This window comes from Homo sapiens, chromosome 12, assembly GCF_000001405.40.
Source record: "Homo sapiens chromosome 12, GRCh38.p14 Primary Assembly".
Classification (NCBI taxonomy): domain Eukaryota; kingdom Metazoa; phylum Chordata; class Mammalia; order Primates; family Hominidae; genus Homo; species Homo sapiens.
This window is the reverse complement of record NC_000012.12, coordinates 72,633,437-72,648,230: the sequence shown is the minus strand read 5'-3', so window position 1 is coordinate 72,648,230 and position 14,794 is coordinate 72,633,437. Positions and strand designations below refer to the sequence as shown.

Genomic DNA, 14,794 nt, shown 5'->3' with positions numbered 1-14,794 from the left:
CCTTATTTGTTGAGAATTTTTTTTTATCATGAAAGGATGTTAAATTTTGTCAGTGCTTTGTATTTATTGAGATGATCATGTGATTTTTATCGTTTATTCTAATAAGGTGGTATATAACATTAATTGATTTTTGTATGTGGAAGCATCCTCGCATCTCAGAGATAAATACCAGCTGGTCATGGTGTATTATCCCTTAATGTAATATTGGTTTCAGGCTGCTAGTATTCTGTAGAGGATTTCTGCATAGGGGTATTTACCTGTAGTTTTCATTTCTTGTGATGTCTTCACCTGGCTTTGCTACCAGGGTGATGCTGGTAACATAAGTTTGGAAGTGTTCCTCATCAATTTTTTTGAAAGTTTCAGAAGGATTGCAGGATTCTTTAAATGTTTGGTAGAATTCACCTTTCAGTGAAGTCATCTAGTCCTAGGTTTTTCTTTGTAGAGAGGTTTTTGATTACTAATTCAATCTCCATCCCAGTTATAGATCTGTACAGACTTGCCAATTCTTCATTGATTAGTCTTGATAAGCTATATTTTGTAGAAGCGTGTCCATTTTTCTGTTATTTCATTTGTTGGCATATAATTGTTCATAGTAGTTTCTTTTGATCCTCTTTATGTCTGTGGCATCAGTTGTAATATCTACTCCTTCATTTCTGTTTTTATTTGAGTCTTCTCTCTTTTTCATTAATTAATCTAGTTTAAGATTTATCAATTTTATCTTGTCTGATTTATTCTATTGTTTTTCTATTTTCCATTTTTTTTGTTCTTATCTTTGTTATTTCCTCCCTTTTGCTAACTATGTGGATAGTTTGTTCTTCTTTTTCTATCTCCTTGAGGTGTAAAGGTAGTTTCAGGTCATTATAAATATAGGTATTTATCACAATAAACTTCCCTCTTAGTACTGCTTTTACTGTATCCCATAAGTTTCAGTATGATGTGCATTCATTGTGCTTTCATTTTTGTCTTGATGTAGTTTTTACTTTCCTTTTGGATTTCTTCTTGACTCAATTGTTGTTCAAGAGTATCTTGCTTAATCCACATATTTGTAAACTTTTCCATTTTCTTTTTGCTATTGATTTGTAGTTTCACTTCATTTTGTTTAGGAAAAGTATGTGGTATAATTTCAATCTTCTTAAATTTGTTAAGACTTGTTTTATGACCTAACATGTAATCCAACTTGGAGAAAGTTATATGTGTGCTTGAGAAGAATGTATATTCTGTTGTCGGACGGTAGGATATTCTGTGTATGTCTGTTAAGTCCATTTGGTTTATAGTGTTGTAAGCCCTCTCTTTCCTTATTGATCTTCTGTCTGGATATTTTATTTATTATTAAAAGTTGAATACTGCTATTTTTAATGTTTTTTATTTCTCCCTTCAGTTCTGTCAATATTGGCTTTATATATTTAGGTGCTCTAATGTTGAATGCATATATGTTTATAATTTGTTATATCTTTCTAGTGGTTTGACACTTTTATTATAATATAGTGCCCTTCTTTGTTTTTGTGATGGTTTTTGACTTAAAGTCTGTTTTGTCTTATATAGACATAGCTACACCTGCTTTCTTCTGCTTTTCCATTTGCAAAGAGTATCTTTTTCCATCCCTTCACTCTCAGCCTATATGTGTCCTTAAAGCTAAAGTGAGACTCTTACCAACACTGTGCATGTAGGTCTTGCTTTGTTAATCCATTCAGCCACTTTTTTTTGATTGGGAAGTTTAATCCATTTATATCCAAGGTAATATTGATAGGGAAGAATTTATTTTTGCCATTTTAACAAAATTGTTTTCCATTGGTCTCATTTTTTTCCTGTCTTTTTCTCTTTTGCCATCTTCCTTTTTTTGAGTTTTTATATTGATATGCTGTGATTTGTTTTTCCCTCTCTTTTATGTAACTTCTAGGGCTTTATTAGTGTGCTTACCTTGATGTATACATATCTTATAACAGTCTATTTTAAGCTGATAACAACTTAAGCTTAAATGTACACAAAAACTCCACAATTTAACTCCTGTCCTCACACTGTTATTGTTTTCACAATTTGTACCTATTCATATTGTGTACCTTTTAATATATTTTAGTCATACTCATTTTAATACTTTTGTCATTTAAATTTTATACTAGAATTAAAAATTATTTACCCACCACCATTACAGTAATAAAGTATTTGTATTTATATATATGTTGATTTTTACCAGTGAGTTTCATACTTTCTTATGCTATTTTGTTGCTGTTTAGCATCCTTTTATTTCAACTTGAAGAATTTCCTTTAGCATTTCTTTCAAGGCAAGTCTGCTGGTGATGACCTCACTTGGCTTTTATTTGTCCGAGAAAGTCATTATTTTTCTTTTATTTGTAAATGACATTATTGCTTGTATAGTTTTCTTGGTTGACAATTTTCTTTTTCCTTTCAGCATTTTGAATATATCATCCCACTTCCTTCTAGCTTGCAAGATTTCTGCTGAAAAATCTTTTGATATTTCTGTAAGTGTTCCTTAGCAGGTGCCAAGTCACTTTACTTTTGCTGCTTTCAAAATTCTCTTTTTTACTTTTGCCAATTTAATTATAATGTGTCTTGATGTACATTTCCTTAGGGTCACTATTTGGGGTGTTTGGGTTTTTTGCTTCTGAATGTCCATTTCGTTCTCTAGATTTGTGAAGTTTTCAGCCATTATATCTTTGAAAGAGCTGTCTAGTCCTTTCTCTTTATTTTCTGCTTCTTGGACTTACATGATGTATATATTGGTCCATTTGCTGGTATCCCAAAAGTCCCTTAAGCTTTGTTCACTTCTTTTCATTATTTTACATTTTTGCTCTTTTAAGTAAATTTTTAAATACTTGTCTTTAAGGTTGCTGATCAATCCATCTTCACGAGTCTGATCTGCTGTTTAACCCTTCTATTAACAGTAAATTTTTCAGTTACGTTATTGTGTTGTTCAGCTTCATCACCTGTTTAGTACTTTTAAATGTTTTATATCTCCTTGTTTAAATTATCATTTTTTAATGCACTGTACTCTTGACTTCAGTGATCTTCTTTATGATAGTTTTTTTGAAGTATCTGTCAGGTAAATCATATGTTTCATTATGGTCAACTTTTGAAGACTTATCTTGTTCCTTTGTTTGGGACATCTTTCCTAGATTTTTATTTTTTTCTGACTATCAGTTCATGTCTACACGTTAATCAATTCTCCAAATTCACAAACTGGCCTTGTACAGAAGAAGATACTCACCCAATAGCCTAGCTAGAGATTCTGGGAACCTCTACTAACTGTCTTTATTCCCAGGGAGAAGCAGGTAGCTGTGGTTTTGTCTGCTTGCTCTGTGCTGAGCTGGGGAGAAGCTGCAGTGTCTTAACAGTCCAAGCCACTGCTTCTGTTCTCCCCTCAGTGGCTAGCCTGCACCAGGCCCATCAGAATGCCAAGACTGAGAAGTAGAATGTTAATTCTTTGGGGTGCCCCAGAGAAGTTTGAGCAGTAGATGCACAGTTCAACTCTTTCCCTCCCCATGGGGAAACCAAGAGCTGGGATTTTCCCTCTATTTGCTCTGTGCTGAGCAGTAGAAAAGATCTATGACACTTATTAGTCCAAACTCCTATCTCTGTCTTCCTCCAGCTAGCTAGACTATGGCAGATCTGTCAGAGCTCCAAGACTAGTAAAGCAAATGCTCATTCTTTGGGCAGCACCAGAAACGTTGAAGCACTGGAAGCATGGATCAAATCTCTCCCTAAGAGGCTGTCAAGAATTGGGATTTTTCTTTTCCCATCACTCTGTGCTGACCAAGGGGAAAAAAAAATATGGCATCTCTTGCTCAAGCCACCATCTCCATTCTCCCTCACACGGCTAGATTGTGCTAGACTTTTTAGAGTTCCAAGGCAGGCAAGACAGAAGCCAGTCTTCTGGGGATACCCTTGAAAATGGTAAGATACTCGATGCATGAACCTACCTCATTTCTCCCCTGGGAGAAGCCGGGAGGAGGAATTCTCTTTCTGATCATTTGCCTATGTGCTAGGGAGTAGAGATTCTGATAAATGTGTGTCCTGAATCTCTCTACTAGCTTTGATGAGTGGTTTTACACTCACTAATGATACAGGAACATTTCAATTAGTTTCTGGATTTCTCACTAAGGGAATATGCCCATAAATTGTTGCTGAATCATTGTGTTTGTCAAAGGAAGAAGAATCTAGTGCTTCCTGCTCTACCATCTTGCTGACACCACACCAAACATTGTATACCCTTCAAGAGGGTATCATTGCCATGACCTGGGCCTAACCAGTGAGCCACAGAGTAATACCAAGGCATCCAGCATATAATCTTCTGAGAGTTGAACTGTACACAAATGTTACCTGTAACTTTTTTTAATTACTTTTTTTAAAAATCCACAGTTTAATCAGTCATCTTTGATAAATGTTTGATGTTGGAAAGACTGGATTTCTGACAATAAGTATTCATTCTGTTCACCAGCATTGAAGTGATACTTGTTAAAACACAGCCTCTGGGTGAGTTAAAAGGACATAAAGTAGCAGTATACTTAAGGAGCTACTGTATGGCAAGCTGGTCATATGCAGAGCAAGAAGAAGAGATTCTGAAAGGACATTCAGCAATAAAATGTTGGATAAAATGACAGACAGACCACCCTGAAGGAATCTAACACAAATGGATAAAATAACAGATAGACCACCCTGAAGGAATCTAACACAAATACAGGGCAAAGAAGGTCTCTGAAGGCAAAGCTGCCTAGAACAAGGGCAGGTTCTATATTTGTATCTGTAGCCTCAAATCAAGAGAAAGACTGCATACTTTGAATGTGCTTTACAAAAAACTGCTGGTCAAGTTTCAGTCTTCTCAATGGCTGTTCGTCACATAGCAGAGATATCAAATTTGATGAAATGTCATTACTATGAAAATGAAACACACATATATTTACATATACAACTTAAAGCATGTTGATGGTCCATTGAAAAATAGTCCTCAGTCTCAGCTACAAATCCTCAAAATATCAGGGAAGAAATAGCCCTATTAGCAGTTGCTAATAGGTACAATTGCATAGGTTTAAATGACTCCTTAGAAGAGAACAAATAGCACCTCTTCTCACCCCATCAACTCCTCATGTTTTTTATCCATGCAGCAGATGAATCAATCTAAAGTTCACAAGATCATTTTTACTCATGCCTATAAATGAAACAAGATTGGTAAGCACCGGATATGCCAGGGGCCTTCAGTTCCCAATGACTTCCATTGTTAATGAAACCCCCTTTTGTTGCTAAATTTGTAAAGATGTTCTAATAACATTTCAGCAAAATGATTGCTCTAGGGACAGTTTAAGATCTCTTTGTATAAACCAAAGTCATTAGAAACAAATGAAAATGCCCATTTGTTTGTAAAGCGTGAGCTAAAAACACCCCACAGAACCCACAGTTATGAACAGTACAAATGAGTCCTGTGAGACTCTTGATATTAGGATTACAAGGAGAGGGCCCCTCCTAGTGAACATGGAAATTGTTTATAAGAATGTGAATATTCCCACAGTCATTTCTCTTTAAACACTGCTTGAGAATTAAATTCTTTAATAGAATTTTATTATCTGGGAAGGAAAACTGTGTTTGTTTTTCTCTAGGTACGGTATACATGATAAACATGAACAATGAGTTAGCCTCTCCTAGCTACCCTCATACAAGATGAATCCCGGGGTAATGCTTAGCCAAAATAAAATACCTTCATCTTTTTTAGGATACTGACATTACAGAAATTATTACCTAATTAGAGTAACTTGTTTGATAGTTTATTCCATTCTCATTTTAAATAGGATTGTGACAGAGTTCTTTGTACGATAACACTTTTGAAAGCATAGAAGTTCAGTGTATCATTGTGAAATAATTTACTTTCATATTTTACTGATATATTTAACTTTGTTATCTTACTCAAAGCAAATGCTTTAGAAGTAAAAGTGAAAAAATTAAGTAGGTAGAAAAATAAAGACATGCATCTTTCAGGAAAAATGTTTCACCAAGTTAAATAATAATGATGGCTGCCTTAGTCTGAACAGCTATGACAAAGTACCATATACTGGGAGGCTTATAAACAATAGAAATTTATTTCTCACAGCACTGGAGGCTATGTCTGAGACTAGGGTAACAGCATGGTCAGGTTCTTGAGAGGACCTCCTGCCAGGTTGTAGACTGCTGACTTCTTGCATTCTCACGTGGCAGAAACAGGGCTAAAAAACAATCTGGGGTTTCTTTCATGAGGTCTTTAATCACATTGTGAGGGCTTCAGCATCACAAACTGTGATTTAGCTCCCAAAGACCCTACTTCCTAATACTATCATATTGGGGGTTAGGATTTCAACATACAAATTTGGGAGAAAAATATATTGTTCATTCATAAAAACTGTGGAATGAAAAATATGTCATTCATTCATAAAAACAGTGGAATGAAACTAAATCATAGTGAATTGGTATTTTAGTTATTAAATGAAAAACAGTGAAATGAATTAATAAGATAAATAAGACAGTCTCCAAAGATTTTGCTGTGAATGTTTTCATTGCTTTGCGGTAGAAAATCTGAACTCAACTAATAAATCAACAATAAGGCACTGGTTTAAGTTAACATACAAATAGCAACTGACAATGATATAGATTAATAATTAGTCATATAATAAAATATACCAAAGATAAAGTAGAATGCATATATTAATGAATAATATGTATAATACCATTGCATAAGTTTACAAAAATAACATAATGTGTACGTTCTTAGTAAAAATAGACTGAAAGGACAGACGAGGATCTTAACATCTGCCTCAGGGTTTGGTCATTATAGGTAACTACTCTTTCTTTTCTTAAACTCATATATTTTGGAAATCCTTTAATAACTTTTATAATTAGTTTGGAAATAAGTAAATGTATAATTACATTTGTAAAAATAAATTCTGTTACTGTTAGAAGAAAACACATTCAATATATAAAAATGCTGTTGAATAATATGTAGAGATAAATTTAAAATATCTTACAGAGGAAAATTATACTTGCCAAAGAAAAAAATATTTAAAATACAAATTTTGATACTTATGACATAAGTCTATTTCTAAGCAAGTTTTTGGCAGACCTAATTTGACCAGTAACTGCCTCTAGATCCAGGTAAGTCAAGGTCATTTCTTTGGGCTTCATTTTTTACCCTAATTGGACAGGGATAAACACATGAGTCCTAAAGTCCCTTCTTGCTCTGTGAGTACAAGATTCTTTCATTAGTGATTGTATTAACACTGAAATGTGGATTTAATTATTTTCCAAGACAATGAAAAACATTTCTCAAACCACTAGCCTCTCTAAGAGCACCTCATTCTTTCAGTGGTAGTATACGTGCCATTGATTTAGAGTGAGGCCTAACAATTAATTTATAATTAATTAATTCATTTGAAGGATTGTTTGCCTACTCTAACTGAAAATTAAAACCTCTGGTGGAGGCTTCCTTGAAAATATTCCAAATCTGGAGAGGAGCCAAGATGGCCAAATAGGAACAGCTCCGGTCTACAGCTCCCAGCATGAGCGATGCAGAAGACGGGTGATTTCTGCATTGATGCGTGAACCTTATTACTTTAAGACTTAGATCGAACTCAGAGCTCCATTTCTAAAAAAGAAGTCACTGTTTCAGGCAAAAATTTTCTGATGCTAAGAAGCTATAATTTGATAAAGAAACAAAGGATTGAAAAAGTAAGTGAAGAAGATGGCCGAATAGGAACAGCTCCGGTCTACAGCTCCCAGTGTGAGCGATGCAGAAGACGGGTGATTTCTGCATTTCCATCTGAGGTACCGGGTTCATCTCACTAGGAAGTGCCAGACAGTGGGCGCAGGTCAGTGGGTGCACGCACCGTGCGCGAGCCAAAGCAGGGCGAGGCATTGCCTCACTCGGGAAGCGCAGGGGGTCAGGGAGTTCCCTTTCCTTGTCAAAGAAAGGGGTGACAGACGGCACCTGGAAGATCGGGTCACTCCCACCCGAATACTGTGCTTTTCCGACGGGCTTAAAAAACAGCACACCAGGAGATTGTGTCCCGCACCTGGCTCGGAGGGTCCTACGCCCACGGAGTCTCGCTGATTGCTAGCACAGCAGTCTGAGATCAAACTGCAAGGCGGCAGCGAGGCTGGGGGAGGGGCGTCCACCATTGCCCAGGCTTGCTTAGGTAAACAAAGCAGCAGGGAAGCTGGAACTGGGTGGAGCCCACCACAGCTCAAGGAGGCCTGCCTGCCTCTGTAGGCTCCACCTCTGGGGGGCAGGGCACAGACAAACAAAAAGACAGCAGTAACCTCTACAGACTTAAGTGTCCCTGTCTGACAGCTTTGAAGAGAGCAGTGGTTCTCCCAGCACGCAGCTGGAGATCTGAGAACGGGCAGACTGCCTCCTCAAGTGGGTCCCTGACTGCTGACCCCCCGAGCAGCCTAAATGGGAGGCACCCCCTAGCAGGGGCAGACTGACACCTCACACGGCCGGGTACTCCAACAGACCTGCAGCTGAGGGTCCTGTCTGTTAGAAGGAAAACTAACAAACAGAAAGGACATCCACACCAAAAACCCATCTGTACATCACCATCATCAAAGACCAAAAGTAGATAAAACCACAAAGATGGGGAAAAAACAGAGCAGAAAAACTGGAAACTCTAAAAAGCAGAGCGCCTCTCCTCCTCCAAAGGAACGCAGTTCCTCACCAGCAACGGAACAAAGCTGGACGGAGAATGACTTTGATGAGCTGAGAGAAGGCTTCAGATGATCAAATTACTCCGAGCTACGGGAGGACATTCAAACCAAAGGCAAAGAAGTTTAAAACTTTGAAAAAAGTTTAGAAGAATGTATAACTAGAATAACCAATACAGAGAAGTGCTTAAAGGAGCTGATGGAGCTGAAAACCAAGGCTCGAGAACTACGTGAAGAATGCAGAAGCCTCAGGAGCCGATGCAATCAACTGGAAGAAAGGGTATCAGCGATGGAAGATGAAATGAATGAAATGAAGCGAGAAAGGAAGTTTAGAGAAAAAAGAATAAAAAGAAATGAGCAAAGCCTCCAAGAAATATGGGACTATGTGAAAAGACCAAATCTACGTCTGATTGGTGTACCTGAAAGTGATGGGGAGAATGGAACCAAGTTGGAAAACACTCTGCAGGATATTATCCAGGAGAACTTCCCCAATCTAGCAAGGCAGGCCAACATTCAGATTCAGGAAATACAGAGAATGCCACAAAGATACTCCTCGAGAAGAGCAACTCCAAGACACATAATTGTCAGATTCACCAAAGTTGAAATGAAGGAAAAAATGTTAAGGGCAGCCAGAGAGGAAGGTCGGGTTACCCTCAAAGGGAAGCCCATCAGATTAACAGCAGATCTCTCAGCAGAAACCCTACAAGCCAGAAGAGAGAGGGGGCCAATATTCAACATTCTTAAAGAAAAGAATTTTCAACCCAGAATTTCATATCTAGCCAAACTAAGCTTCATAAGTGAAGGAGAAATAAAATACTTTACAGACAAGCAAATGCTGAGAGATTTTGTCACCACCAGGCCTGCCCTAAAAGAGCTCCTGAAGGAAGCACTAAACATGGAATGGAACGACCGGTACCAGCCGCTGCAAAATCATGCCAAAATGTAAAGACCATCGAGACTAGGAAGAAACTGCATCAACTAATAAGCAAAATCACCAGCTAACATCATAATGACAGGATCAAATTCACACATAACAATATTAACTTTAAATGTAAATGGACTAAATGCTCCAATTAAAAGACACAGACTGGCAAATTGGATAAAGAGTCAAGACCCATCAGTGTGCTGTATTCAGGAAACCCATCTCACGTGCAGAGACAAACATAGGCTCAAAATAAAGGGATGGAAGAAGATCTACCAAGCAAATGGAAAACAAAAAAAGGCAGGGGTTGCAATCCTAGTCTCTGATAAAACAGACTTTCAACCAACAAAGATCAAAAGAGACAAAGAAGGCCATTACATAATGGTAAAGGGATCAATTCAACAAGAAGAGCTAACTATCCTAAATATATATGCACCCAATACAGGAGCACCCAGATTCATAAAGCAAGTCCTGAGTGACCTACAAAGAGACTTAGACTCCCACACATTAATAATGGGAGACTTTAACACCCCACTGTCAACATTAGACAGATCAACGAGACAGAAAGTCAACAAGGATACCCAGGAATTGAACTCAGCTCTGCACCAAGCGGACCTAATAGACATCTACAGAACTCTCCACCCCAAATCGACAGAATATACATTTTTTTCAGCACCACACCACACCTATTCCAAAACGGACCACATACTTGGAAGTAAAGCTCTCCTCAGCAAATGTAAAAGAACAGAAATTATAACAAACTATCTCTCAGACCACAGTGCAATCAAACTAGAACTCAGGATTAAGAATCTCACTCAAAACCACTCAACTACATGGAAACTGAACAACCTGCTCCTGAATGACTACTGGGTACATAACACAATGAAGGCAGAAATAAAGGTGTTCTTTGAAACCAACAAGAACAAAGACACAACATACCAGAATCTCTGGGACGCATTCAAAGCAGTGTGTAGAGGCAAATTTATAGCACTACATGCCCACAAGAGAAAGCAGGAAAGATCCAAAATTGACACCCTAACATCACAATTAAAAGAACTAGAAAAGCAACAGCAAACACATTCAAAAGCTAGCAGAAGGCAAGAAATAACTAAAATCAGAGCAGAACTGAAGGACATAGAGACACAAAAAACCCTTCAAAAAATTAATGAATCCAGGAGCTGGTTTTTTGAAAGGATCAACAAAATTGATAGACCGCTAGCAAGACTAATAAAGAAAAAAAGAGAAAAGAATCAAATAGATGCAATAAAAGATGATAAAGGGGATATCACCACCAATCCCACAGAAATACAAACTACCATCAGAGAATATTACAAACACCTCTATGCAAATAAACTAGAAAATCTAGAAGAAATGGATAAATGCCTCGACACAAACACTCTCCCAAGACTAAACCAGGAAGAAGTTGAATCTCTGAATAGACCAATAACAGGATCTGAAATTGTGGCAATAATCAATAGCTTACCAACCAAAAAGAGTCCGGGACCAGATGGATTCACAGCCGAATTCTACCAGAGGTACAAGGAGGAACTGGTACCATTCCTTCTGAAACTATTCCAATCAATAGAAAAAGAGGGAATCCTCCCTAACTCATTTATGAGGCCAGCATCATCCTGATACCAAAGCCTGGCAGAGACACAACCAAAAAAGAGAATTTTAGACCAATATCCTTGATGAACATTGATGCAAAAATCCTCAATAAAATACTGGCAAAACGAATCCAGCAGCACATCAAAAAGCTTATCCACCATGATCAAGTGGGCTTCATCCCTGGGATGCAAGGCTGGTTCAATATATGCAAATCAATAAATGTAATCCAGCATATAAATAGAACCAAAGACAAAAACCACATGATTGTCTCAATAGATGCAGAAAAGGCCTTTGACAAAATTCAACAACTCTTCATGCTAAAAACTTTCAATAAATTAGGTATTGATGGGACGTACTTCAAAATAATAAGAGCTATCTATGACAGACCCATAGCCAATATCATACTGAATGGGCAAAAACTGGAAGCATTCCCTTTGAAAACTGGCACAAGACAGGGATGCCCTCTCTCACCACTCCTATTCAACATAGTGTTGGAAGTTCTGGCCAGGGCAATTAGGCAGGAGAAGGAAATAAAGGGTATTCAATTAGGAAAAGAGGAAGTCAAATTGTCCCTGTTTGCAGACAACATGATTGTATATCTAGAAAACCCCATTGTCTCAGCCCAAAATCTCCTTAAGCTGATAAGCAACTTCAGCAAAGTCTCAGGATACAAAATCAATGTACAAAAATCACAAGCATTCTTATACAACAACAACAGACAAACAGAGAGCCAAATCATGAGTGAACTCCCATTCACAATTGCTTCAAAGAGAATAAAATACCTAGGAATCCAACTTACAAGGGATCTGAAGGACCTCTTCAAGGAGAACTACAAACCACTGCTCAATGAAATAAAAGAGGATACAAACACATGGAAGAACATTCCATGCTCATGGGTAGGAAGAATCAATATCATGAAAATGGCCATACTGCCCAAGGTAATTTACAGATTCAATGCCATCCCCATCAAGCTACCAATGACTTTCTTCACAGAATTGGAAAAAACTACTTTAAAGTTCATATGGAACCAAAAAAGAGCCCACATCGCCAAGTCAATCCTAAGCCAAAAGAACAAAGCTGGAGGCATCATGCTACCTGACTTCAAACTATACTACAAGGCTACAGTAACCAAAAGAGCATGGTACTGGTACCAAAACAGAGATATAGATCAATGGAACAGAACAGAGCCCTCAGAAATAATGCTGCATATCTACAACTATCTGGTCTTTGACAAACCTGAGAAAAACAAGCAATGGGGAAAGGATTCCCTATTTAATAAATGGTGCTGGGAAAACTGGCTAGCCATATGTAGAAAGCTGAAACTGGATCCCTTCCTTACACCTTATACAAAAATCAATTCAAGATGGATTAAAGACTTAAACGTTAGACCTAAAACCATAAAAACCCTAGAAGAAAACCTAGGCATTACCATTCAGGACATAGGCACGGGCAAGGACTTCATGTCTAAAACACCAAAAGCAATGGCAACAAAAGCCACAATTGACAAATGGGATCTCATTAAACTAAAGAGCTTCTACACAGCAAAAGAAACTACCATCAGAGTGAACAGGCAACCTACAGAATGGGAGAAAATTTTCGCAACCTACTCATCTGACAAAGGGCTAATATCCAGAATCTACAATGAACTCAAACAAATTTACAAGAAAAAAACAAGCAACCCCATCAAAAAGTAGGCAAAGGACATGAACAGACACTTCTCAAAAGAAGACATTTATGCAGCCAAAAAACACATGAAAAAATGCTCACCATCACTGGCCATCAAAGAAATGCAAATCAAAACCACAATGAGATACCATCTCACACCAGTTAGAATGGCAATCATTAAAAAGTCAGGAAACAACAGGTGCTGGAGAGGATGTGGAGAAATAGGAACACTTTTACACTGTTGGTGGGACTGTAAACTAGTTCAACCATTGTGGAAGTCAGTGTGGCGATTCCTCAGGGATCTAGAACTAGAAATACCATTTGATCCAGCCATCCCATTACTGGGTATATACCCAAAGGACTATAAATCATGCTGCTATAAAGACACATGCACATGTATGTTTATTGTGTCATTATTCACAACAGCAAAGACTTGGAACCAACCCAAAGGTCCATCAATGATAGACTGGATTAAGAAAATGTGGCACATATACACCATGGAATACTATGCAGCCATAAAAAATGATGAGTTCATGTCCTTTGTAGGGACATGGATGAAATTGGAAATCATCATTCTCAGTAAACTATCACAAGAACAAAAAACCAAACACCGCATATTCTCACTCATAGGTGGGAATTGAACAATGAGAACACATGGACACAGGAGGGGGAACATCACACTCTGGGGACTGTTGTGGGTTGGGGGGAGGGGGGAGGGATAGCACTGGGAGATATACCTAATGCTAGATGACGAGTTAGTGGTTGCAGCGTACCAGCATGGCACATGTATACATATGTAAGTAACGTGCACATTGTGCACATGTACCCTAAAACTTAAAGTATAATAATAATAAATTAACAATTAAAAAAAAAGATGTTTTCCCTCTGAAACTAGCATCCAATTAAAACTCATGCATTGGTTAAAAAAAAAAAAAAGAAAATATTCCAAATCTTGTTCTGCCTTACAAATGCTTACACCCTTACCTCTATGGGGATAGGAAATTCATGACTTTGAAATAGCAAACTGAAAAATAACCTGCATTTACAAAGTTTGACCTTGTTCATAGTGTCCTCTATTCTCATTTCTTTCTATTCTCATTCTTTAGCCTCTTGTCTGCTGCTAATGAAGCCACTGTGAATAGAACCTAATGCTGTTTAGAAGGAATGGGCAACTTTTTGTGCCTATGTGTCAGTTTCCCCTTCTGGAAAATGGGGATAATAATTCCTTACAGGGCTGTTACAATGATTAAATGAGATGTCTGTCCAGTGCTTAGCACAGGGCCTAGTGTATATAAAGGGTTTGGCAGGGGCTTTATCTCCACAATGTGCACTGCCCAGTTCTGGGAAAATAGCAAATTGTTCTCAATATTTGATAATGACACTCCTCCTCCTCATTATTTTTATTATTATTGAAATGGAATAACAACCATCTTTCCCAAATGAGTAATGGAATTTTTAAAAAGCAGTAGTAAAAATAAGAATCTCACTGAAAGTGAATGAGTAATTTATTGAAAAACATGATTGATAATATGTCTCAAGTTTAAAGCATTATAATAAAATACACTTTTATAATCCCACCTAACTTTACTAGTATACTTGTCAATCAAATATAGTACCACTAAATTCATAAAAACCCTGGCAACCAGGAAGAATATGGTTTCTAGAAATCTCTACAATGCCCCCTAGCAAAGAGGATACAGAATCCCAAGTGAAACGCATAGTCAGTGATGGGTGGAAAGATCACTAGGAAGCAATGCTGTTTGCTAGGCACCTTTCATGCTGAAGCTAGGGTGGTTCTGTTTCTAGGGAGCTTTCTCACTTGTGCCTAAACAGCATTTGCATTCCCACTGAACCTTAAGTATAACCAAAAGAAATAGGAAAATCTCGAAACAAAGGAAAAGGTAGTCCAAAAAACAGTCTGCA

The 14,794-nt window shown here is 37.5% G+C and overlaps 1 protein-coding gene across 4 annotated transcripts in view, besides 1 other annotated feature; it reads right to left on the bottom strand.

Moving 5' to 3' along the window:
* Positions 1-14,794, bottom strand: part of TRHDE (thyrotropin releasing hormone degrading enzyme) — a 583,493-nt gene that overhangs the window by 22,528 nt on the left and 546,171 nt on the right. The window lies entirely within an intron of this gene.
* Positions 8,023-8,571: an enhancer, noted in NCBI's record as "NANOG-H3K27ac-H3K4me1 hESC enhancer chr12:73033440-73033988 (GRCh37/hg19 assembly coordinates)". NCBI's record gives its function as "activates a minimal SCP1, AML or CMV promoter by ChIP-STARR-seq in naive H9 embryonic stem cells {active_cell/tissue: H9 hESC(naive)}" and the evidence as "EXISTENCE:reporter gene assay evidence [ECO:0000049][PMID:30033119]".